This window comes from Homo sapiens, chromosome 3 (assembly GCF_000001405.40).
Source record: "Homo sapiens chromosome 3, GRCh38.p14 Primary Assembly".
NCBI classification, from domain to species: Eukaryota; Metazoa; Chordata; class Mammalia; order Primates; family Hominidae; genus Homo; species Homo sapiens.
Window position 1 is genome coordinate 172,773,536 of NC_000003.12, and position 25,710 is coordinate 172,799,245.

The 25,710-nt window shown below is 35.9% G+C and overlaps 1 protein-coding gene and 1 pseudogene across 48 annotated transcripts in view; one reads left to right on the forward strand and one right to left on the reverse strand.

Annotated features, from left to right (window-relative positions):
- The window catches only part of ECT2 (epithelial cell transforming 2), a 78,540-nt gene that overhangs the window by 22,810 nt on the left and 30,020 nt on the right, over positions 1-25,710 (forward strand). For all 48 annotated transcript variants that reach the window (XM_047447621.1, XM_047447633.1, XM_047447622.1 and 45 more), the window contains 5 exons: positions 368-487; positions 8,628-8,696; positions 10,264-10,374; positions 11,172-11,268; positions 12,958-13,039. In XM_047447621.1, the coding sequence (XP_047303577.1) occupies positions 368-487; positions 8,628-8,696; positions 10,264-10,374; positions 11,172-11,268; positions 12,958-13,039 (479 nt within the window). The remainder of the gene's footprint in view (positions 1-367; positions 488-8,627; positions 8,697-10,263; positions 10,375-11,171; positions 11,269-12,957; positions 13,040-25,710) is intronic.
- On the reverse strand, positions 22,773-23,175 carry RNU4-4P (RNA, U4 small nuclear 4, pseudogene; annotated as a pseudogene).

Below are 25,710 nucleotides of genomic sequence, written 5' to 3' on the forward strand. Positions count from 1 at the left end.
ATATTAGATATGTCTGGAGGCAGCAGATTGCTTGTTGCTTTCATCCTTAGTAACTTGAATACAAAAGTAGAAATTACTCTTGTATCATACTAACAATTTTAATGATTGATTGCAGAACTGTGTGAAGTTTTATTTGCTTCTAATGACATTTCATGACGAGCATATGTATATACATATACACAGGTATATAAATGGAGTACATAAAATAGAATAGAAAATATGGGGAAAATGTCTCAAATTTAGGGAGAGTATTTTTTATTATTACTTCCTTCTCTATTAATATCTTGTGTCTCCTTTATCACTGTCTATCTTTTAGCTCTTTTCTTTTTCCCACAATCTACTTAAACTAGTCTTTTTTCTCATTTAGTTATTTCAAGTACCATTGGAAGAGGAAGGACAACGTGGTGGACCTATCCTTGCACCAGAGGAGATTAAGACTATTTTTGGTAGCATCCCAGATATCTTTGATGTACACACTAAGATAAAGGTAAATTTGTATATGTTAGATTGGTAGTAATTTTTTTCAGATTGTACATATTTATTATGATCTTTGAGGTACTTCTGGTTAGCTAAATAAGTTTTGTACCTAAAACTTCTTATTCCCTTATTAGTTCCTTTGAATCATTTGTCTCTTTGTTCCAGTGCCTCATAATGTTTGTTGTTTGCTTTTGTTTTGTTTTTTGAGACAGTCTCACTCTGTCACCCAGGTTTTAGTGCATTGATGTGATCTGGGCTCACAGTAACCTCTGCCACCTGGGCTCAAGCAATTCTCCCGCTGCCTAAGTCCTGAGTAGCTGGGACCCCAGGCATGTGCCACCATCCCAGCTAATTTTTGTATTTTTTTTGTAGAGATGGGTTTTGTCATGCTGCCCAGGCTGGTTTCGAACTCCTGACCTCAAGTGGTCCACCCGTCTCGGCCTCCCAAAGTGTGGGGATCTTAGGTATGAGACACCATGCCCTGCCTTTTTTTTTCGAGATGGAGAATACTCTCTCACCCAGGCTAGCGTGCAGTGGCCTGATCATGACTTACTGCAACCTTGACCTCCTGGGCTCAAGTGATTCTCCCACCTCAGCCTCTCCCGAAGTAACTGGGATTACAGTTGCATGCAACCATGCCTGGCTAATTTTTTTAAAAAAGTTTTTTGTAGAGACAGGGCAGGGTCTTGCTGTGTTGCCCAGGCTGGTCTCAAACTCCTGGACTCAACTGATCCTCCTGCCTTAGCCTCTCAAAGTGCTAGGATTACAGCCATGAGCCATTGCACCTAACCTTTGTTTGCTGTTTTTTATTTTCAGTTAATCCTACAAACAAGTAATTAAGGCTTTATGAAATCTATTCTGTAGAAACATGTGACTCCCAGTACTATTTTTCTTATGTTCCTATTGTTTTTGCTCTTGGGGTGTATATTTTTGTTTTGCTTTGGCTTGTTTTGAAAACTCTAAACCTCTAATGGACTTAGAGTTCATTTAAGTCCCTTCTCCATTTATAGGTAGGTAAATGCCAAAAGTATGTGAGACAATGCTGTCCTCTTTGGTGAAGGGCCTGTGAATTCCAGGTGTCAATCTCTTACACTAAAATAATTCCTGAACAGATTTAGCTGAACTCTTAAACTACTTTTTAAGTAAGTAGTTTAGTTTTATTTCCTCTTATTTTACCTATGTAGTACTTGAGCAAAGTTGATCAGTTTTCTTTTCAAAATAACTCACATTAATATTTATGTCACATTCCAGTAAAAGAACCAATCGGAATTACAGGATGTTTTCAAATATATAAGATTGTTTTTTATTTTAGTATACATTATAAACAAAAAATAGAAGATCTATAAATTATTTAAAATGATATTTACCAATTGCTTGTATTTTGTGTTTTATCAGTATTGCTGATCATATTTCAGTTAATTTCTAGATCTAAAGAGAACTCTGAAGGAATCTATTTGTTTAAAAAGCTTAGAAAGCTAGAGAGTTTCAGGCTAGTTAATCCTATTCCAATTAGGATTCTGAATTTTTGAAGAGGAAAGTACTCTTGGAATATTTTTTGTTTTGTAAGAATTACTGGGTGGCACAAAAGCAGAATGGAAGGTCAAGTAGGTTTTGTGGGTTTTTTTCTTTTTTTTTTTTTGAGGTGGAGTCTCACACTGTCACCCAGGCTGGAGTGCAGTGGTGCGATCTTGGCTCACTGCAACCTCTGCCTCCCGGGTTCAAGTGATTCTCCTGCCTCAGCCTCCTGAGTAGCTGGGACTACAGGCATGCACCACCACGCCTGGCTAATTTTTGTATATTTAGTGGATCTGGGATTCTGCCATGCTGACCAGGCTGGTCTTGAACTCCTGACCTCAAGTGATCCGCCCGCCTCGACCTCCCAAGGTGCTGGGATTACAGGCATAAGTCACTGTCCTGTCAAGTAGGTTTTTATCTTGGTGTTTTGCCGCTAACTTTGTGGATCAATTTGAATTTGTGTCAGTTATTTAGCTAGTCTGGACACCCTTCTTTGACAAAATGTGTTATTTTATGTTTGCAGAGTCATAATCTTAATTTAGAAAATCATATTCTTTGATTCAGTGAAGCTTTGAAAATTTGTCACCCTTTAGTTTTCTCAAGTGTAACTTAATTCTTTAAGCTTCTTTTTTGTAAAATGGTACTTCAACTATTAGTTTTTCAGTTTTTTCTTTTTTTTTTTTTTTTTTTTTTTGTCATCTAGGCTGGAGTGCAGTGGCCTGATCTGAGCTCACTGCAACTATTTGTTTTTTTTAGCTGATTGCAGGTTTGTCAAATATTTAAAAATTTTAAAGCTTATGTTCTTTTCTACCGTGAAACCAGTACGTGCCGTGAAACATTTGTAAAACTCAAGAGAAAAGGAAAAAGGGAGAGAAATACCCATAATTCCATTATCCAAAAATGTCTAAAATTTTGGGTTTTTTTCTTTATCCTCGTAACACATAGCAGTTTTTTTTCCTGTTTTAAATGAAGCCAACCATCTATTGAGCATTACCACATCTATTGAGCAAGAAGTTGGTATTGTACACATTTTAGAAATGTGAAACCGGTACACACAGAGAATAACTTTACAGAGGCAGTCATCTAATAAATGCTGGATCCAAGACTTGAACCTTTATTTGTATAACTTCAAAGTCTGTTCTCCTAACTATTAATGCTATTTTGCTTCTTTAAAATCATGCTGAGATACATTCTTTTGGTATGTAGATGAATACACCATGTAAATGTGTCTTAAATTTGTACAGTTTTTCGTATCATCTCAATAACAGCATTCCTGAAAACATTGGTGTCTGTATTTTATAATATCACATAGTGGTTAAGAATATGTAGTGGAAAAAACGGGTTTGTTTTTTTTTTTTTCTTTTTGCGACAAAGTCTCGCTCTGTTGCTCAGGCTGGAGTGCAGTGGTGCAGTCTTGGCTCACTGCAACCTCCATCTCCCAGGTTCAAATGATTCTCCTGCCTTAGCCTCCCTAGTAGCTGGGACAGGTGTGCGCCACCACACCTGGCTAATTTTTGTATTTTTAGTGGAGGTGGGGTTTCACCACATTGGCCAGGCAGGTCTCAAACTCCTGACCTCAGGTAATCTGCCTGCCTCTGCCTCTCACAGTGCTTAGATTACACCACTGTGCTTGGCCTGAACAAAGCAGATTTGATTGAGTTTGAAGTCAGGTGACTTTAAGTGCTTCAGTTTTCCTGTTTATAAAATGGGGATAATAATAACTGACTCATGAAGTTGGGCAAACTAATCTTAAGTTTTTTGTAGTGTTAAAACTTTTTTTTACCCATTGTGTTTACACCCACTGTCTAGCATTTAGATTACTTTCGGTAAATGTTTACTAAATGATGGTTGTGTTACCTTTAACTTTCAAAATTAAGACTAGCACTCACTGTATTTTCTTATCTAGGTATTATGTATACAACTTTAGAAGCCTCATCCTTACTTTGCTTCCAAGGTCTAGTGAGCTGATGTTTTGAGTAAGATGAAAATTTTTGAGGTTGTTATATACATCTCTCTCTTTTCCTCAGTATGAATTTTTCTTTTTCAAGATTAAACATCATTAATCCTTGATGTACAATTTTCTGCTCTTAGCTTGGCACAGTGGCTGATGTCTGTAATTTCTGCACTTTGGGAGGCCGAGGCAAGTGGATTGCCTGAGCCCAGGAGTTTGAGACCAGCCTGGGCAACAAGGCAAAACCCCATCGCTACAAAAAATGCAAAAATTAGCTGGGTGTGGTGGCGCATGCCTGTAGTTCCAACTCTTCGGGAGGCTGAGGTGTTAGGATCGCTTGAACCCAGGAGGCAGAGGTTGCAGTGAGTCAAGATCATGCCACTACACTCCAGCCTGAGCAACAGAGTGAGACCCTGTCTCAAAACTATGCAACTATGATGAAACAAGAGACAGAGATTGATAGGAGTTCTTTTTCTTTTTATATATATCTGTTGTTATTTTAGCGTAAGCCTCAAAAGAATTGTGTACTTGTTTCAGGAACCCATGTATGTTGGCTTACTGTGCAATGAGCTCAGCAAAAGAGAAACCCTGGTTAAGATTAATTCTGCGCTGTTTCTACCTACTTAACAGTGCAGAATAAATCTTAACAAGGAAGAAAAGAAGTAAGTAGCTTAGCTTTCTTAAGCCCCATCTGTTTATGACTTCCCCACTTATCTAATATTCTTGCCCAGGCTTTGGAATCTGCTCTGTCTCAGAACTGTAGAATTGTCCGTTCTTTTAGAGGAAAAGTTAAGAGAATCCTATGAGAATTTCTGATGTATTATAGACAAGGAGGAGGAAATACATCTCAGTCTCTGTCCTAAATTGTATCGGGCATTTTCCCTCAGAAATGTTGTAAGAAGTAGTGGTATTATGAATAAAGCTACTGGGGACTCGCCTGCCAAACTGAGTCCCCCTTTCTAATGGGGAGGAACTGTGGAATAACATGGAATCTGAGTCAGACAATACTGAGTTTCAATACTGGTTCACAGCTGTGTGATTTGAGGAAAGTTACTTAATCTCTCTAAGCCTTAGTTTCTTTATTACTTAGTTCCTGAGCTATTAGCTATCTTTTTTTTTTTTTTTTTTTTTTTTTGAGATGGAGTCTCGCTCTGTCGCCCAGGCTGGAGTGCAATTGCACAATCTCAGCTCACTGCAACCTCCACCTGCCGGGTTCAAGCAATTCTCCTGCCCTAGCCTCCTGAGTAGCTGGGACTACAGGCACGCGCCACCATGCCTGGCTAGTTTTTTGTATTTTTAGTAGAGACGGAGTTTCATCATGCTGGCCAGGCTAGTCTCGAACTCCTGACCTTGTGATCTGCCCGCCTCGGCCTCCCAAAGTGCTGGGATTACAGGCATGAGCCACGGCACCCGGCCTAAGACAGCAATCTTTATTCAACAAGCATTAGGAATTAAAAGTTAACCAGAAACAGAGCAGACTATATTTCAGAGTGCCTAAAGATGATTTTGCTTTCTTAGAGCAATGTTCTTATGTAAGTATTTATTTTACAGGTTTATGAATTAATACTTGTAAAGCATTTAGAGGAATCCCTAACAGATAGTTATGCTCATAAAATCCTCTATGATGTAGGAATAATTACATTCCTTATTTTTCAGAATAGGAAATTGAGGAACATATAGCTTAAATAACTTGTCCAAGGGCACAGAAGTAACAAGCCCAAGAGCCAGTATTTAAACCTCAGTAGTCAGTGCCAGAATTCACTGCATTATATTGCCCCAAGATTAGACTTATTTATAATATTTTTCTTTCTTTTTTTTCTTTCAAGTGCATTTCTGAACAGTTCAATCTTCCCAGTTCTTGATGTGTGTGGGCTGTTAAAATATTCTTGCTTTGAGTTTACTTTTATGCTATTGAAAGTAGTTTTTCTCGCTTTTGAACTTTACTGTAATTCTTAAATTTTTTGTCTTCAGGATCCCTTTTCATTCTTAAAGATTGAAGAAGTTTTACCTATGTGGATTTTATATATTGGTAGTTGCTGTATTCAAAATTTTAAAATATTATTTAACATGTATTATTTTTTAACAGCTTTACTGAGGTACATCTTACGTGTTTTTAAATTCACCTATTTAAAATAACACAATTCAGGCCAGGCCTGGTGGCTCCTGCCTGTAATCCCAGCACTTTGGAAGGCTGAGGCAGGAATATCGCTTGAATCTAGGAGTTTGAGACCAGCCTGGTCAACATAGTGAGAACCCATTTTTGCAAAAAATAAAACAGCTGGCTGTGGTGGCACATGCCAGTAGTCCCAGCTACTTGGGAAGCTTAGGTGGGAGGATTGCTTGAGCTTGGGTGGTTGAGGCTACAGTGAGTTGTGCCACTGCACTCCAGCCTGAGCAAAAGAGTGAGACCCTGTCTCAAAAAAAAAAAAAAGAAAGAAAATATGATACAATTCAGTTATTTTAATAACTTAACCAAGTGGTACAACCATCACTATAAATCCACTCTAGGAGATTTTCACTACCCACCCCAAATAAGATGTCTACTTAAAATTAATCTTTATTTCTACACCCAGCCATAGGCAACCACTAATGTACTTTCTGTATCTATGATTTTGCCTTTTCTGGACATTTTATATATTTAATATGTTATACATTGATACTATGTATATATACATAGCATATAGATATACTATTTGATACACTATATAGTATTGTAAATATGTTTATATAGTATGTGGTCTTTTATATATGGTTTCCTCTTAGCATGTGATTTTTAGTTCATCTAAATGTAGCGTGTTAGAAGTTCTTTTTTTCTGGTCAAATAATATTCCATTATATGGCTATACTAACTTTAAATTGTCTGTTCACCAGTTGATAGACATTTAGATTGTTTCCATTTTTGGCTATTATGAATAATGCTGCTGTGAGAGTGTGGTGTGCAGATCCATGTGGACATGTTTTCATTTCTCTTGAGTAGATACCTAGGAGTAGCATTGATGAGCTATATGGTAGTTTTGTATTTAAAAATTTTAAGAAAATGCCAGGGTTTTCCCATTATTTTAAAGTTAATTAGTTAATTTATTTAGAGATGTGGTCATGCCAGATTACCCAGGCCGGCCTCAAACTCTGGTCTCAAGTGGTCCTCCCACGTCAGCCTCCTGAGAAGCTCAGACCCATCAGTTGTTATTTTCACCAGTAATGAATGAGAGTTCCAATTTCTCCACATTCTTTAAAAACACTTATCTTTTTTTTTCTTAAATTATAACCATCCTAGTGGGTGAGGAGACATCTCTTGTGGCTTTAATTGTATTTCCCTGATGATTAATGATAAGTGTCTTTTCACATGGTTATTGGCCATTTGTATATTATTTTTGGTGAAATGGCTACTGTCTGTTGCCTGTTTTTTGATTGGATTGTCTTCTTGAGTTGTAAGGGTTCTCTGTAAATTCTAGATACAAGTTTTCTTGAAATACAAAAGTTTTAAATTTTGATGAAGTTCAATGTATTCATTTTTTCTGTGATTTCAGTTCATATCTAAAAATTTTTTTTCTAACTCAAGATTTTGAAGATTGTTTTCTATGTTTTCTTCAAAAATTGTTTTGCTTGTGGTGAGGGTTTAAGTTCATCTTTTTGCATGTGGGATATCTAATTTTATATTAATTCACTTAAAATAATAGCTCATTACATGGTAACACAAGTAACATTCTTTAAGAAAAATAATTTCCCAAACAAAAATAATTAGTAAGGGGAGTGGTAGTATTGTAGTTTTTTTACTGTCTGGCTTAATAGAAGACTGATTATCATATCTGCTTCTGCATTCAGTCTGTTGCATATCACATATCATGTAGCTTCCAGAAAACAACTGTATACTTGTGAGAGAATGAGTGAAAAAGTCAAATAATGCTTTAGCAGTATTACAAAAATAATTTTAATCTCAGGGATCCCACTGAAAGGGTGTCCCAGCAGTCTTTGTTGAAACTTTAGAGAGTCTTTAGTATAAGAGCTTGTTGATTGATGTCTACTTTAAAATCACTTAGAATTTCAATTAGGGCCTGTCATTTCTTGGCATCTCATTTTATCATCTGATTTGTTTGTTTATTATAAAGCTTTTAAATGTTCTTCTAAGTTTTTACAAAGAAGTAATATTTTAGAATGACCATGAAGAATTAACAAACTATGGTTCATGGGCCAAATCCAGCCCATTGCGTGTTTCGGTTAAAAGAAGTTTTATTGGAACACAGCCACACTCATTTATTCACACTTTTAAATTTACTGACCCCCTGTTAGAGATTACAGTTTTTAATGACTGATGTTAAATAAATTAAAAAAACCTCATTTTTAGAGTTTCTTAGATTTCAGCAGCAGGATTGAAAGTAGTTTTCTATAATTAATAACACCAATCAGCTTTATAGTTAATAAAAAATATTGAGTTATCACATCATATTGGAAAGTTAGGCTTATCGACTTTACATTTTATATTTTAAAAATGTTTTTCAAAGGATGTTTTCTTTGTAGTAAAAGTTAATTCCTTGTTGAAGAGAAAGAATGGGATGTTCATTATTTTACACATCAAATTAAGACACTTTGTAAAGTGCTTCTTTCCAATGAGTATCTCAGAAATAATAAAAGTTGTATAAGGAGCTGTCAGGTTTAATTTTAAATATTTCAATTCGTGCTATTTCAGGATGATCTTGAAGACCTTATAGTTAATTGGGATGAGAGCAAAAGCATTGGTGACATTTTTCTGAAATATGTAAGTATTGTATTTCTTTTTTAAGTTTTCAGATTAAAATATGATCTCATCAAGGACTGGCAAGGAGTGTAATTTGCCTATTTAAATGTGAGAGGTTTTAAAACTTTGATATGATTGTGTTTATAAAATACATTGGAAATGTTCTTTGTCTTCTGAAACATGCCTTCTGTATGCAATTTAACACTTTAGTAGCCCAAGATTATTGGAAGAATGCCAATTATCATGCTGTGGTATAATTGTTTTAGTATGTATCAAGTTATTTGCCTTTCATAAATGGCCACAGATTGTATTTTTATTTTATATATTATTTAATTTTCATTTTAAGTTCAGGAGTACATGTACGGGTTTATTATATAGGTAAAATTGTGTCATAGGGGTTAATTGTACAGATTGTTTCGTCACCCAGGCGTTAAGCCTGGTACCTATTAGTTATTTTTCCTGTTCCTCTCCTTCCTCCTACCCTCCACCTTCCAGTAGGCCCCAGGTATGTGTTGTTCCCCTCTATGTGTCTATGTCTTCTTATCATTTTGCTCCCACTTATAAGTGAGAACATGTGATGTTTGGTTTTCTGTTCCTGTGTTAGTTTGTTAAGGATGATGCCCTCCAGTTCCATCTATGTTCCTGCAAAGGGCATGATCTCGCATTTTTTTTTTAATGGCTGCATAGCATTCCATAGTGTATATGTACCACATTTTCTTTATCAAGTCTATCATTGATGGGCGCTTAGGTTGACTCCATGTCTTGCTATTGTGAATATTGCTGAATTCTACCAGATGTACAAAGTTTTTATTTTTCTCCCTTCTTAGTTGATAACACTTTTTGCTGTCATGTCTGTTTCTATTTAAAGGCTTCTAATGAACTGCCTCTTACTAGGATAAGAACCACACAACTTAAGTTTTATAAATTCATTTTGGCAAGGTTCTGTGAATAGAATTTAGAAGTTTCTTTGAATCTCTTTAAATAGGATTTGTAAGTTTCAGTGCCTTGAGTACTGGCATTTATACTTTTATTTTTTGAGGTTTCTAACTTCTTTCCTTACAAAATAATCTCTTAGGTGTTTTTTCAGTTTGGTTGAGAATTAAAAATTTACAAATTATTTTCTCATTTTTTTGATAACCTTTTAATTTTCTCAGTCAGCCAACATTGTTTTCCTTTTCTTGTTTGCATTTTTGGGTAATTTAACTGATCTTTTAATGGCGGTTTGGATTTTTGAATAAATACCATGCTTTTGGAATCTACATAGATCAGCTGTAATTGATATTTTTTAAAGTCATAGACATTTTCTTTGTCATGTTTGTATCAATACAATCAGCTTTAACATATCTTTTGTTTTTTTTCTGAGTCTTCCTGTTTTAGACTATGTATACCAATTGATGTATTTTGTTTAGCAATTAACTCTTTACTGAGAAATTTATAAAATAAGTTTGTTCTCAAACATAGAAATTTACTTTAAACTTTTGCATCCACTATGTCAGATTGTGACTACTAATTATTTGACTTTAAGTTACATTGTCTCTAAGGGTGACAAATGCATAATAAATAATGTTTTTTTCCCTTTTCTTCCTAGTCAAAAGATTTGGTAAAAACCTACCCTCCCTTTGTAAACTTCTTTGAAATGAGCAAGGAAACAATTATTAAATGTGAAAAACAGAAACCAAGATTTCATGCTTTTCTCAAGGTAATGTGTGTTTCTTTCAAATAAAAATTTGAGAATTATTTCTGAAGTAATTCACCACAATTATGACAAAAATGAAGTAAATTTTAACTTTAGTAAAATGTATCCATTAATATCTGTTAATTTTAGTTGTACTTATGGGTGACCATGATATTTAGCTTTGGAAGCTTTGATATATTCAGTGTTAGGTGCCAGGAGGCAGCTGAGTGAATAAGAATGTTATATGTGGTCATTTTTTTTTTTTTTAAATTGTGGCCGGGTGCACCGGCCAATGTCAGCCTATAATCTTAGCACTTTGAGAGACTGATGAGGGAGGATTGCTTGAGGCTAGGAGTTTGAGATCATCCTGAGCCACATAGTGAGACTCCCATCTCTACAAAAAGTTTTTTTTAAAGTTTTATGTATTTTAGTTCTCAAAACACCTAATGATTTTCCAGTGACATTTGTTTTGCTTTTAATGATTTTTTTTCTTACCAGTTCCTTATTATGGTATTAGCATAATTAATATTAAATGTGCTTTTTCTTGTGAATAATGTAGACTTAAGAAAAATTTAAGGTGGGATATATAGGAGTGTGTAGAGGAACTCACTTTTTATGTAAGATGTTAACCACTGGCTGGCCAAGAGGACATTTCAGGCCCTGAAAAATTATTCAGCCAAGTAATCAGCCACGGAGAAATTCCACTTCTTCTCTATTAGTTTGTATCACAGACACTAATGATAAGGTGTACTCCAGTAAAAGTAGGGCATATAATCTTTTCAGAAAACCTTTTTTGAAATTGTTGAATAAATTGTTTTCAGATAAACCAAGCAAAACCAGAATGTGGACGGCAGAGCCTTGTTGAACTTCTTATCCGACCAGTACAGAGGTTACCCAGTGTTGCATTACTTTTAAATGGTACTTGTCTGATCTGTTTCAAACTACATCAGATATTTTAATGGAATTGTTTTTTCCAAAAAAGATGAATTTCTTCTCATTTTTAGAGTTTCTTAGATTTCAGCATTAAAGTTTATATATGTTTTGCTTTATGGATTATCTTAAAAAATAGTTACTGGTGCTACTAAAATTCAGCCTGGCCTGAAATATTTTATTTGTTGATTAGTAGTATATATTTTGTCTTTTCATTTAAAATTTTTCTTAATATTTCATGGTGTGTCACTAATTCAAAATCATTTTATATCCAAGTACATACAAAATTTGCCCACAAAATCACAAGGAGAAGATAATTTGTATGTCCCGACTTTTTTGTAGCCCTTTTTTGAATTTTAGTAAAGTTCTATATACTTGGCTTTATGCTTACTGTTTTTGACCTTAGATTGTTCAGAATACTCTTGAAACATATCTATTTATTCTAGAACTGAACTATAGGTATCAATAGAGTTTTACAGCAGATAATTTTTATGAATAAATTTTGCCTGTGGTAAAAAATGTGTATGTATATTTTGTTACATTTAGCTGGCTAAGGACAGTATCAGTTTTTATTTTATTCTTAATTAAGTATGAAAACAAAATTATAGCCGGTAATCCCAGCACTTTGGAAGACCGAGGGTAAGCCCAGGAGTTGGAGACCAGCCTGGGCAACATTCAGGGACCCTGTCTCTAAAAATAATTAAAAAAAAAAAAAGAAGGATAACTAAATTATAAACAGGAAAAAGTCTATAATAAAAGATATAATTCCTAAGCTAAATCTACACTAATATATACAGCAGACAAGGAGGCAAATTTTGTGACTGTTTAATCTGTTATTTTCTGTAAAAATCTTGGTTAGTATATGAATTATAGTACTAACTAAAAATCTGACAATTTTTTTGTTTTTTAGAGTTATCTAATACAGTTGAGAATTACTGGCTTATAAAATGATTTGTCCACTATTTAAAACTGTTCTGTTTTGCAAATTATAAGGAGAATATATGAACAAACTTTAGGTTTCCAAAACATTGTGGTTTTCTTCTGATTTGCATACCTTCATTATTGTTTAAGTACTTGTAGAAATTCGTAAATGTTACAAATAAAATGATTTCTAGGCTTTATTACTATTATTCCACATGAGAGATTAGGTGGACAGTGGTACTAGATTAAACCTAGATTTGATAAGAATATGCCAAGGATGGCATAGGGAACACAAATAACCTGGATTAGAAGAGTCAACGTGTTAAGTATAAATCTCTAAGGTAACAAAATCTGTGCTTAAAGATACCAGATGCTCTCTGTGATGTAGCCATGGGCCCCAGTATGAAATACAAAATACATTATGATTTCTGAGCTTATTGAGGATCATGTGTTTTCATTTAGCACTATGGAGAGACTTTGAGGAATTTAGGAGTCCCCAAGCATTACTTGAAGGGATTGGAATAGCAGTGTAAGAAAATCAGGATTACATATTCTGAAAATTTAGTCAGTAAAAATGGAAACCTTAACAGATGTGTAATAAGAGAGCTTTTTAGGGAACAGTGCTTAAAACTTTTTAAAAAATAAGGATTGAATATTATCTTTAAAAATTAGCTGTATCAAGATGGACAGCATTTTAGTCTTAGATGAGAAATCACTGAATTTTTTATGCATGGAAAAAACATTGTATTATTACAGATCTTAAGAAGCATACAGCTGATGAAAATCCAGACAAAAGCACTTTAGAAAAAGCTATTGGATCACTGAAGGAAGTAATGACGTAAGTGCATTATTTTCAATTTTTGATTGTGCCTTAGATTTCGAATGGAATTGATAGAAAACTAGAATCATAAATAGGAAAATATCAATAGCAAATTTTTGTAAAATGTCTAGATTATTTTTCTAATAGTGTAGTTACACATTAAAATGAAGTATTGTAAGAATACATTCATTAATCAAAACATTTATTTCTAAGCTATTAAACTATTGTGCACAGAGAATAATAGTTTAGAAACTTGAAAATGTTACAAATTCCCTAATAGGCATTTTCTTCATATAACTCTAGTCATAGCTTGTTTCTGTCTTCATATTAATGTGTATTGCCCAAATGTAACTTGAGAATGTGACCACAGTGAAACGAAAAGGTTTATAATACTTTTTCACTTTAATTTTTAAACTTTTTGTTTTCTACCTAGAGTTCTGTGGAATTAAATTGGCGGGATTGGTTGGAAATGTATTAAAAGTATAAATTCAATGAAATTGATCTGGGGAGTTTGGTCATAAACTTAGGCTGCTTACTATAGGTCTAACTTGGAAAGAGGACTGATCAGAAATGATCTTCTGACTGTTAGGATCAGAGTGGAAAACTCTCTTACCATTAACTGTTTCTGGTTTGCCTCAGAGAAGGCACTTTAAGTGGACTGTATATATCAGTATATTTAATAGGTTTAATTGATTTCTGAGATGCCAGGGTGCTTCTGTATGAGAGTTTCTTGAAAGACTTCCAGAAGGGCTCTTAAGGAGAAACTTCGTTAGCTCTAGAGAGGGGATTCAGCGGAGACCTCTCTCATTCTCTTGAGACAGTAATGCTCAAATTAGTTATTACCAGCTTTTGTTGCTGCTGAATGGGTTATGTAAATAGGTGTCCCAAGACTCCCTCAGATACCAAAATCTGTAGGTGCTCAAGTCCCCTACAGTCAGCATCTGCAGATATGGAGGGCCAAGTGTATATACTTTTTTGTTTTGTTTTCTTTTTTGCTTATGTATTTTGTATGTTCACCAACCAGCCATCATGCTTTTGCTTTTTTTCCCCTAGGACCAGGATAACGGTATTGAGACTATTATGATGATAATTCTCTGTAATTTTTCAACACCTTATGGTTTAAAATACTCTTGACACACATTATTTACCTTGATCTTTTCAACAAACTTTATGAAGTAGGCAGTCATTGTTTTCATATTTTTATAAAAGAAACTGAGAGGTTGTTACCTGCTCAATTTATCTGTTTGGAGTGTAGAATACTCTACAAGTGGCTTATGCTATTTGTTATTTATGTACAATATATTTTGGTAAGCAAAGATTATAAAGTAAGTAAGGAAAAGTAGCAAATAGATTAGTCATTTGACCTGTTGCCTTATTTAGAATAGTGTCAAGCTGGCTGCTGTAGGGATAATGAGCTGAATCAGTAAGACATTAAGTTTCTTGAGAACTTCTATTTTTAGTATATCCCTACCCTAAGTGCCTTTCTCATAGATTTTCAATAAATGTTAAATTATAGGACCTGATATTTTAATGTCGAATTGTGATGCTGATTAATAAGCCTTATAGAATTTTACCAGATCTAAATTCTCGAGATTCTTGAACATTTAGCCTAGAGATTTAATGCTTATTATGGTTGATTAAAACCACTGTTACCTATCAGATATAGGAAATAATGACACAGCACCAGTTCACTAGTCCTTGCCATTTAAGCAAACTAAAAAAGCCTCCTAAAATTGAATTCTAACAACATCAGTTATACATGCTTAGATTTTCAATATTAATTTGTTATAGATATGTTTTTAGTTCAAATATGGCTTTTTTCTTAAACTACACATATTTAAAATATAGTTTGATTAATTTCAGCACACATATGCTCCCATGAAACCATCACCACAATCAAGATGAAGAACATTTCTGTCACCCCCAAAATTTACTCATGCCCCTTGGTAATCTCTTTTTCTGGCCCATCCTGTTTTACCCTTCCCAAGGCAACCGTCTATCACTGTAATTTAGGAATGCCCCAGATACTGTGGGTTAGGTTGCAAACCATGACAGTAAAGGAAATATCCCAGTAAAGCAAGTCATGTAAATTTTTTCATTTCTCAGGGCATATAAAAGTTACGTTTACACTATACTATAGCCTGTGAATTGTGCAGTAGCATTATGTTTAAAAATTAATGTACATATCTTAATGAAAAATTATTGTTAAAAAATGCTAACAGGCAGGACGCTGTGGCTCACGCCTGTAATCCCAACACTTTGGGAGGCTGAGGCGGGTGGATCACGAGGTCAGGAGTTCGAGACCAGCCTGGCCAAGATGGTGAAACCTCGTCTCTACTAAAAATACAAAAATTAGCTGGGCATGGTTGTGGGTGCCTGTAATCCCAGCTACTTGGGAGGCTGAGGCATGAGAATCGCTGGAACCCGGGATGTGGAGGTTGCAGTGAGCTGAGATTGCGCCATTGCACTCTATCCTGGATGACAGAGCAAGACTCTGTCTCAAAAAAAAAAAAAAAAAAGCTAACAATTATCTGAGCCTTCAGTAAGTTATAGTCTTTTTGCTAGTGGGGGATCTTGCCTTGATGTTGATGGCTGCTTACCAGGGTCGTGGTTGCTGAAGGCTGGGATGGCTGTGGTAATTGCTTCTCTCTCTCTCTTTTTTTGTTTTTTTTTTTTTTTTGAGACAGGATCTCACTCTGGTTGCCCAGGCCGGAGTGCAGTGGCACAGTCTCAACTCACTGAAGCCTCCACCTCCTCCCACCTCATCCTCTTGAGTAGCCGGGATTACAGATGTGCACCACCACACCTGGCTAACTTTTATATTTTCTGTAGAGATGGGGTTTTGCCATGTAGCCCAGGCTGGTCAAAAACTCCTGAACTCAAGCGATCTGCTCACCTCGGCTACCCAAAGTATTGGGATTACAGGCATGAGCCACCACAGCCGGCCGGCACTTTGTTAAAATAAGACAGCAATGAAGTTGGCCATATCAGTTGACTTTTCCTTTCATGAATGATTTCTCTGTAGCATGCGATGCTGTTGGATAGAATTTAACCCATATTAAACTGCAAAGTTGGGGTCACTTCTCTTAGATTTTGACACCACGTTATCAACTAAGTGTCTGTAGTATTCTAAATCCTTTCTTGTCATTTCAACAGTGTTCACAGGATCTTCACCAGGAGTAGATTCCATCTCAGGAAACCACTTTCTTTGCTTATATGTAAGAAGCAGCTTTTTTATCTGTTTGGGTTTGTTCATGAGATTGCAGCAATTCAGTCCCATCTTTAGTCTCCACTTCTAATTGTAGTCCACTTGCCATTTCTGCCACATCTGCAATTCCTTCTGCAATTGAAATCTTGAACCCCTCAAAGTCATCCATAAGGATTGGAATCAACTTCTTCCAAACTATTAATGTCGATGTTTTGACCTCCCACGATTCACAAATTTTTTTTTTTCTTCATTTTTATTTGTGCCTTCTTCTTGGCCTGAGCTCTGGCTTTTGGTTTTTTCTCCCTCGCCTCTCTGCTGCTGACCACTGCAGGCTCTCTGAACCTTGAGAGTTACCTCCCCTGAGGTCTCCGCTTATGCCTCCAACCTCTCATGCTCAGCTTCACCTGCCCGACATATGGTCTTAAATGGCAACCCAGATGGTGAATCCTTTCCAGTAGGTTTTCTTTTTCTTTCTTTTTTTGTCAGTTCAAGTTTAATAGAAACTGCAAAAGATAATTGGCTGATGCCCTCTAATGATACAGCATACAAATCAGTGGCCTGCCCCACAACACAGCTCAGGCCATTCCTACCAAGGGAAGAAAGGCTGGCCTCTGTAACCCCTGTAGGAAAGGCCTGCTTTGTAACACACCACATCTCAGCTGAATCTAAAGTCTAGTGTTTTACCTATGAAAAGAAAAGAAAAGAGAGGTTTTGTTATGGCTGTCCACTGCAGCCTGGCACTGAAATGTCCCATTGCTTACTTCTACTTGGAAAAATATTCTTTGTTCTTTTGGACATCATCCAGTATGTTTTCAATTGACTTAGTGATTCTTGTGATTCTTCTGATGGATCTGTTCTATCTGTGGCAGCTATAGCCTTATGAAATATGTTTCTTAGATAATAAGACTTGAAAATTGAAATTACTCCTTGATTCATGGGCTGCAGAATTGGATGTTGAGCTAGCAGGCATGAAAGCAAAATTAGTCTCCTTGTACATCTCCATCAGAGCTCTTGGATGACCAGGTATATTGTCAATAAGCAGTAATCTTTTGAAAGGAACATTTTTCTGAGCAGTAGGTCTCAAGAGTGGGCTTAAAAGATTTAGCAGGGCCGGATGCAGTGGCTCATGCCAGTAATCCCAGCACTTTGGGAGGCCAAGGTGGGCAGATCACTTGAGGCCAGGAGTTTTAGACCAGCCTGACCAACATGGCAAAACCCCATCTGTACTAAAAGTACAAAAATTAGCTGGGTGTGATGATGCACACCTGTAATCCCAGCTACTTAGTGGGATTTCAACGAGAGTTGCTTGAATCCAGTAGCTGGATGTTGCAGTGAACCAAAATTGCACCACTGTACTCCAGCCTGGATGACAGAACAAGACTCTTGTCTCAAGAAAAAAATTAGTAAACCATGGTGATGTGCTGTCATCCATGCTTTGTTGTTTCATTTATAGAGCACAGGCAGAGTCGATTTAGCATAATTCGTAAGGGCCCTAGGATTTTGAGAATGGTCAGTGATCATTGGCTTCAACATAGTCAGTCACCAGCTGCATTAGCCCCTAACGAAAGAGTCAGCCTGTCCTTTGAAGCTCTGAAACCAGGTATTGACTTCTCTCTAGCTGTGAAAGTCCTAGAAAGCACCTTCTTCTACTGGAAGGCTGTTTTGTCTACACTGAAAATCTGTTGTTTATTATAGCCACCTTCTTCAATTATCTTATTTAGATTTTCTGGATAACTTGCTGTAGCTTCTCCATTAGCAGTTGCTGCTTCACCTTGTACTTTTATGTTACAGAAATGGCTTCTTAAACTTCCATGAACCAACTGTGCTAACTTCAGACTTTTCTTCTGCAGCTTTCTTACCTCTCTCAGCTTTTGCAGAATTGAAGAGAGTTAAGAACTTGGTCTGAATTAGATAGTGGCTTGTTCTGGATTGTTAAGGCTGGTCTGATCTTCTGTCTGGACCACTCAGACATTCTTCATATCAGTATTAAGGTTGTTTTACTTATTATTCATGTCACTGGAGTAACACTTTTCATTTTTCTTCAAGAACTTTTCTTTTGCATTCACAGTTTGGCTGCTTGGTGCAAGAGGCTTAGCTTTAGGACTATCTCTGTTTTCAACTTGCTTCTCTTACTAAACTCAATCATTTCTAGCTTTTGATTTGAAGTGAGAAATGTGTGACTCCTCCTTTCACTTAAATACAGGACTTTGTAGGGTTGGTTATTAATTTCAATATTGTTGTATCTCAGGGAATGGAGAAGCAAGAGGAGAGAGAGCGATAGGGGAATGGCTAGTTGGTGGAGCACTCAGAACACACACACACTTATCAATTAGGTTTGTTGTCTCATATGGGCATTGTTAGTGGTGTCCCGAAACAATTACAATAGTAACATCAAAGATCACTGATCACAGCTCACCATAACAGATAAAATAATAATGAGAAAGTTTGAAGTATTGAGAGAAATAGCAAAATGTGATAGAGACACGAAGTAAGCATGTACTGTTAGAAAAATGACATGATAGACCTACTTGACACAGGGTTGCTTACAAACGTTCAATCTGTGAAACAACAACAGCAACAACAAAGAAAACACTATATGTGAAGCACAATAAAGTAAAGCACAATAAAGCGAGGGATGCCTATATGCACTTTCTATGATTTTATGTACGTGGAGTCTTTTATCTGGCTTTTTTTTTTTTTTATACTCAGCATAATTACTTTGAGATTAGTCCTTATTGTTGCTTATTTCAATAGTTACTTTTATTTTCCATTGTATGGCTATATCACAGTTCATCCATTTTCATGTTGATGGCATTTTGGTTGTTTCCAGTTCTTGGCTCTTCCAAGTAAAGCTGCTGTGAAAATTTGTGAACAAGCTTGTATAGACATATGCCTTCATTTCTCTTGAATAAATTCCTAGGAATAGGAATGGTAGGTCAGATAGTAGGTTTTTCCTTTTTTTTTGGTGGAGGGGGTGGTATCTTATTCTGTGATCCAGGCTGGAATGTGGTGGTGTAATGTTGGCTCACTATAACCTCCACCTCCCAGGCTCAAGTGATCATCCCACCTTAGCCTTTTGAGTAGCTGGGACTACAGGTGCAGTCCTACCATGCCTGGCTACTTTTTTGTATTTTTTGTGGAGACAGGGTTTCACTCTGTTGTCCAGGCTGGTCTCAAACTCCTGGAGTCAAGCAATCTGCCTGCCTCGGCCTCCCAGAGTGCTGGAATTACAGGTGGAGCTACTGCACCCAGCAAGGTATATGCATTTCTAAGAAACTGCCAAACTGTTGGCAAGACGGTTGTATTATTTTGCATTCCCATCAACAGTGTGTGGTGTTCCAGAGCTTCCACATCCTTACCAACAATTGGTATGGTCAGTGATTTCATTTTTTATTTATTTTTATTTATTTATTTATTTTTGAGATGGAGTCTCACTCTGTCTCCAGGCTACAGTGCAGTAGTGCGATCTCGGCTCACTGCAACCTCCGACTCCCTGGTTCAAGCGATTCTCCTGCCTCAGCCTCCGAGTAGCTGGGATTACAGGCACGTGCCACCACTCCCAGCTAATTTTTGTATTTTTAGTAGAGACGGGGTTTCCCCATGTTGGCCAAGTTGGCCTCGATCTCCTGACCTCGTAATCCACCTGCCAAAGTGCTGGGATTACAGGCGTGAGCCCCCGCGCCCAGCCTATTTTTTACTTTTTTATTCTTACTTTTTAAGATGGAGTCTTACTCTGTTGCCCAGACTGGAGTGCAGTGGCGCGATCTCTGCTCACTGCAACCTCCACCTCCCAGGTTCAAGCAATTCTCCCGCCTCAGCCTCCCGAGTAATTGAGATTACAGGCACCTGCCACCATGCCCAGCTAATTTTAGTATTTTTAGTAGAGACGGAGTTTCACCATGTTGGCCAGTCTGGTCTCGATCTCCTGACCTCAAGCAATCCACCCACATCAGCCTTCCAAAGTGCTGGGATTACAGGCATGAGCCACCACACCTGGCCTGGCCAGTCATTTTAATTTGTGACATTCTAATAGATGTTTGGTTGTCTTTCCTGGTGGTTTTGATTTGCATTTGCATGACAAATGATGTTAAATGTCTTTTCATGTGATTATTTGCTGTCATATTACTTTCTTTGATGATATGCCTGTTCAAATCTTTTGTTTATTTGAAAAAAAAATTGTGTTTTTTTTGTAATTGAATTTTGAGAGTTCTTTATATATTCGAGTTAAAAGGCTTTTTTTAAAAAAAGATATATGATTTGCAAATATTTTCTCCTAGTTTCTGGCTTGTTTTTTTCTTTTGACAATTTCTTGAAAAAATAAGAGTTCTAGATTTTTAAGTCTAATTTAGCAAATTTTATTTTAATGGATTGTGATTTTATAGTTTTATCTAAGAAATATTTGTCTAACCCAAGGTCACAAGGATTTTTTTCTTATTTTCTTTAAGAATGTTTGTGGTATTAGTCTTTAGGTAAAAATCATTTAGGTGTATGATCCATTTTGAGTTAATTTTTGTATATGGGGCATGGTATAGATTGAAGTTCATTTTTTAAAATATGGAAATCTATTCTAGCAGTATTTGTTGCAAAGAGTATCCTTTCTCCACTGAATTGCTTTTGTACCATTGCTGAAAATCAGTTGACCATAAATGTAATGGTTTATTTCTTTACTTTCAATTCTGCTTCATTGATCTGTATGTCTGTGCTTATGCCAGTACCACACTGCCTTGATTACTGTACTTTAAGTTTTGAAATTGGGAAGTATGTGTCTTCCAACTTTGTTCTTTTTCAAAATTGGTTTCACTATTCTGAGTTCCATAAATTTGGCATGTGGCTTTTAGGAGCATCTTGTCAGTTTCCAAACAACAACAACAACAACAACAAAACTGTGGGGAATGTGTATAGGAATTTTATTGAATTTGTACATCAATTTTAGGAGTATTATCTTAGCAATATTATTATTATTATTTTTTGAAACGGAGTCTCAGTGTCACCCAGGCTGGAGTGCAGTGGCACGGTCTCGGCTCACTGCAATCTCCGCCTCCCGGGTTCAAGTGATTCCCCAGCGTCAGCCTCCCGAGTAGCTGGGACTACAGGTGCGCACCATCACACCTGGCTAATTTTTTTTTAAGTAGAGATGGGGTTTTAGCATGTTGGCCAGGCTGGTCTCGAACTCCTGACCTCAGATGATCCACCCACCTTGGCCTCCCAAAGTTCTTCGATTACAGGCATGAGCCACCGCACTTGGCCTATGTTAGCAATATTAAATCTTCTGATTTATGAATATTTCCATTTATTTACTTTTAATTTCTTTCAACTATATTTCGTGGTTTTCAGAGGATAAGCTTTGGGTTTCTTGTTAAACTTATTCTTAAGTATTCTATTCTTTTTGATGCTATTGTAACACAAAAATTAGCCAGGCATGGTGGTGTGGTGTGCGCCTGTAGTTCCAGCTACTCAGAGGCTGAGGCAGGAGAATCGCTTGAACCAGGAGGTGGAGGTTGCAGTGAGCCAAGATTGCACCACTGCACTCCAGCCTGGGTGACAGAGTGAGACGCTATCAAAAAAAAAAAAAAAAAAAAATTTTCAAAATTGTCAAAATACATTTTTGCTTGGAATTAGTGGTTAGACAGTTTTATGTTTGTTGCTGCTAAATGTTTTAAAGTCATGGAGCTTTAAGTCCAGCCTAAAATGAAATGATCTTCATGTAATTCTTTGATTTAAACTAACATTATTATTGATTTAATAAAAACAGCTGTATCTTTTGAGTTATTTACAACATACCCATGTATTTCACTTTAGGTTCTTACTTAGGTAAATATCTGATATTAACAGGTTATAATTTTGATTAATAAAAATAACAAAATAATGACTAGCTCTAATACCTCAATTTTCATAATGAATCTAGGCATAATTGCTAAAAAATTTATGTAACTGTAAATGGGATAAACATTTATAACTAAACTTTGCAAGTAATTTGAAATCTTTAAGTTATGTTACATTAAATTAAGTAATAGAGAGCTCATTAAATGCCTGAGTCATATCCAAATAAGAGAAAAAACAAAAACGAATTGCTGAATAAATAGGTTTGTTCTTGGCTTCTTAAATTTTATAAAAAGACTAAATATACTTAGATCTGTTAATACACATAAAATTATAAGAGGACAATGTGTTTTTTAATTAAAAAACAATGATTTTGTCAAATTCACAGGTTATTTAAAGTTTGTTTCAAAATATAAATTTAAGAAGAAAAAATTGGAGGAAAAACCAGTGTGGGAGAGAGAGAGAGATGCAAAGATAGTTATGGATATAAAGATGTATTTTTAGTTAAATAATAATTTTAAAATGTCTGTGATAAATTTTTGTCCTAAGGCAAAATGGTTGTTCCAGTATCAAAAAATTATAGGACTAAGACTAGGTGTTTGAGAAAATGATGAAAGATCTAAACAAGTCAAAGAGGGTTTATGAAGGCTGGGCTTTATAAAGGAAGGTTTATGTGTGATCAGGTTGATGGGGTTGGAAAGGATTTCTTTGTAAGTTTTTTCTAAAAATTAAACATTGGTGTCAGGAGTGCATTGATTGATATAGGACCAAAGTCTGAATCTCTATGTTTACAACGAGTTTTACTTGAAGTATTGATCAGCTTTTAATAAAATTGCAGTAGGTTTTAATTTTTAATTCCAGAATCTGTTTCTTTATCAGCCATCTTCTAAACTGCAGGCATTTTCTTTTTCAATTAGCAGTAATCGCTCCTCGGATAGACCTCATTGGCTACGATACTGCCACTGCGCAAAGCTAAACTGCAGGCATTTTCTGTTTCGTCTTACATTTCTTCCTGATATCTGTTTAATTTCCTCAATTCAGGTTAAAAATGCTGTCTTCTTTATTTAAAATTATTTTAATTAATTAATTCATTTATTTATTGGAGATAGTCTCACCCGGTCGCCCAGGCTATAGTGCATTGGTGTGATCTCAGCTCACTGCAACCTCTGCCTCTCAGGTTCCAGCGATTCTCCTGCCTCTGCCTCCTGAGTAGCTGGGATTTCAGGCACATGCCACCACGCCCTGCTAATTTTTAGTAGATATGAGGTTTCGCTATGTTGGCCAGGCTGGTCTTGAACTCTTGGCCTCAAGTGATCCTCTCACCTCAGCCTCCCACAGTGCTGGAATTGGAGGCATGAGCCATCACGCCCAGCCTTATTTCTTAAGGTAGCATTTTCCTTTTGAAGTTTCTCAGATTCATATATCAGGTTCAACTGTGTGTGTGTGTGTGTGTGTGTGTGTGTGTGTGTCAGGGTCTCATTCTGTCACAGGCTGGAGTGCAGTGGCACAATCTTGACTCACTGCAACCTCCACTTCCCAGGCTCAAGTGATCCTCCTACCTCAGCCTCCTGAGTAGATGGGCCTACAGGTGTGCACCACCGTGCCTAGCTAATTTTTGTATTTTTTTTTTTTTAGAGATGTGCTTTTGCCATTTTGCCCAAGCTGGTCTCAAACTCCAGGGTTCAAGCAATCCACCGGCCTAGGTCTCCCAAAGTGCTGGGATTACAAATGTAAGCCACCATGCCCTGCGGGAGGTTCAGCTTTTGCTGTGTCTCACAGCACATGATTTTCAGGTCATACATTGTTACCTTTTGCTTTTTCCCCTTTTGAGAAGGCATGGGTTGATAACTCTTTGCTTCAGCTTTTTTCTGTCAGCTTTCATAACTGTTTTCTGTGGTTCTAACTCTGCTGTTATATCCTGACACTAAAATGTTCATCTTGAAGGCCTTAATTCTTTACTTGTGGCTTTTCATGATGTGTCTGAGTTGTTGCAGTTACTGTGTAACATTGTTCCTTTGTCTAATTGAATTCAAGTGCTCTTTTCATCTGGCTCAACTTCCAGGTTATCTAAATGAGCTTCCCCCAAGAAGGAACAATCGTACTGCAGAAAGTTTTTCTTTGCCTTTTTGATAACTGGCCTAAGAAACAGGTTTTATGTTTTATCAAGAAAATGTCCTGTGTTGCCTTTATTAGGTTTTTGATTACTTAAAATAAAACCCATATGCATAATACACAAAAGAAACAACAGATTTTTAAAGGTTAAGGCTTTTTTGTTTGTTTTTATCCATGTAGCTCTGTATTCCTTCTAAAGCCTTGTGATTATCACTCTGGTTACATAAATGACTATTATTTCACAAATGACCTGTGATCCTGTTTTGATCAAATGTCTTGAGACTTTCAACATCTTTGGCAAACTTCCCCCAAATCAAATCGTTTTAGTCTTTTTAACCTAAACTAACTGAGATTTTTGAGGTGAACCCCTGGGAAGCCTCAAAAGATTTCTCTCATCTTGAGAGATATTAAATTATTAGGCTTATTTGATAAGTTGTGTAAAAGACATTGACAAATGATAAGTGATACTAGATCTTTTAGTTGCATTTGTGGGTATTTGTTGATATGTTTCACAAATTGTGTAAGTTACAGAAATCTGTTATTATAATTTTGGTTGTTATCTTAATGCCATGTTTAATAGAGATAACTAAATTTTGTTGTCAGTTGCAAACTTTCACCAGCTTTTTAAACTATGGCTAGTCTAAGTTTTTGTCATCCGGTTAGGGTTTTGAATTCTTCCCTAAAAACATAATCATGAAAATGATTCTATCCAACAAGTGCCCTAAAGTCAAGTTTCTGATAACTTTAAGATCAATGGAATTGATAAAAATTTCCAAAACTCTAATTTAAAAAACTGTTGGATTCACGAAACTACTAATCGAGATCAAGCAGAATAAAAATGAATTATACAAGATTGAATAACTGATGAAGATAATGTTTTAATGACTTTTATTTAAAATATTGTTGGTTCTTTATGCAAATGTTTTGTTTTCCAGACTTAAGAAAATCTCTCTCAAGCTATCTATAATTTACAACAGTTTGATATAGTATGCTTTTGTAAATATAGATAGAACATTTATTTTTTCTATTTGATTCCTCCACAATTTGAAAACTTTTTGAGCATTCTTTTAGCAATATAGTTATTTACATAAGTCTAATAGAAATCTGCTCTCTCTTTATAGCAGAATACAATTGAAAACATTGGTTATATTACCAAGGCTTTGACTGAAATGTCATATTTGACAATATGCATAAAATGCCTGACTTCAAAGGTTCCTAGCCTTACAGTGAGTAAATTAAAAACTGCCACTTCTTGGCAGACCCAGGAACCTTAAGACTGTAAGTAAAATATAAAGTCTGCCTTGGTTTGGTTTCCTAGCCTCAAGAGGTTTTAAAATCTGAAATTTTTATGTGATCAGTGTAGAAAAAAAGTTATATTTCTAATAAAAAGCTGTAATACACCTGTTGTTAGATTGTAGCTCTGTTGGTTGTTTTTGAGTTCTTGTTATCTACCTATAGTCTAGATCCTAAATTCTTCCAGATTTCTCCAATCCAGCTGTCTTCCATAAAATTGCTAAAAATGGGAACTGTACTGTTTCTAAAGCCCTAT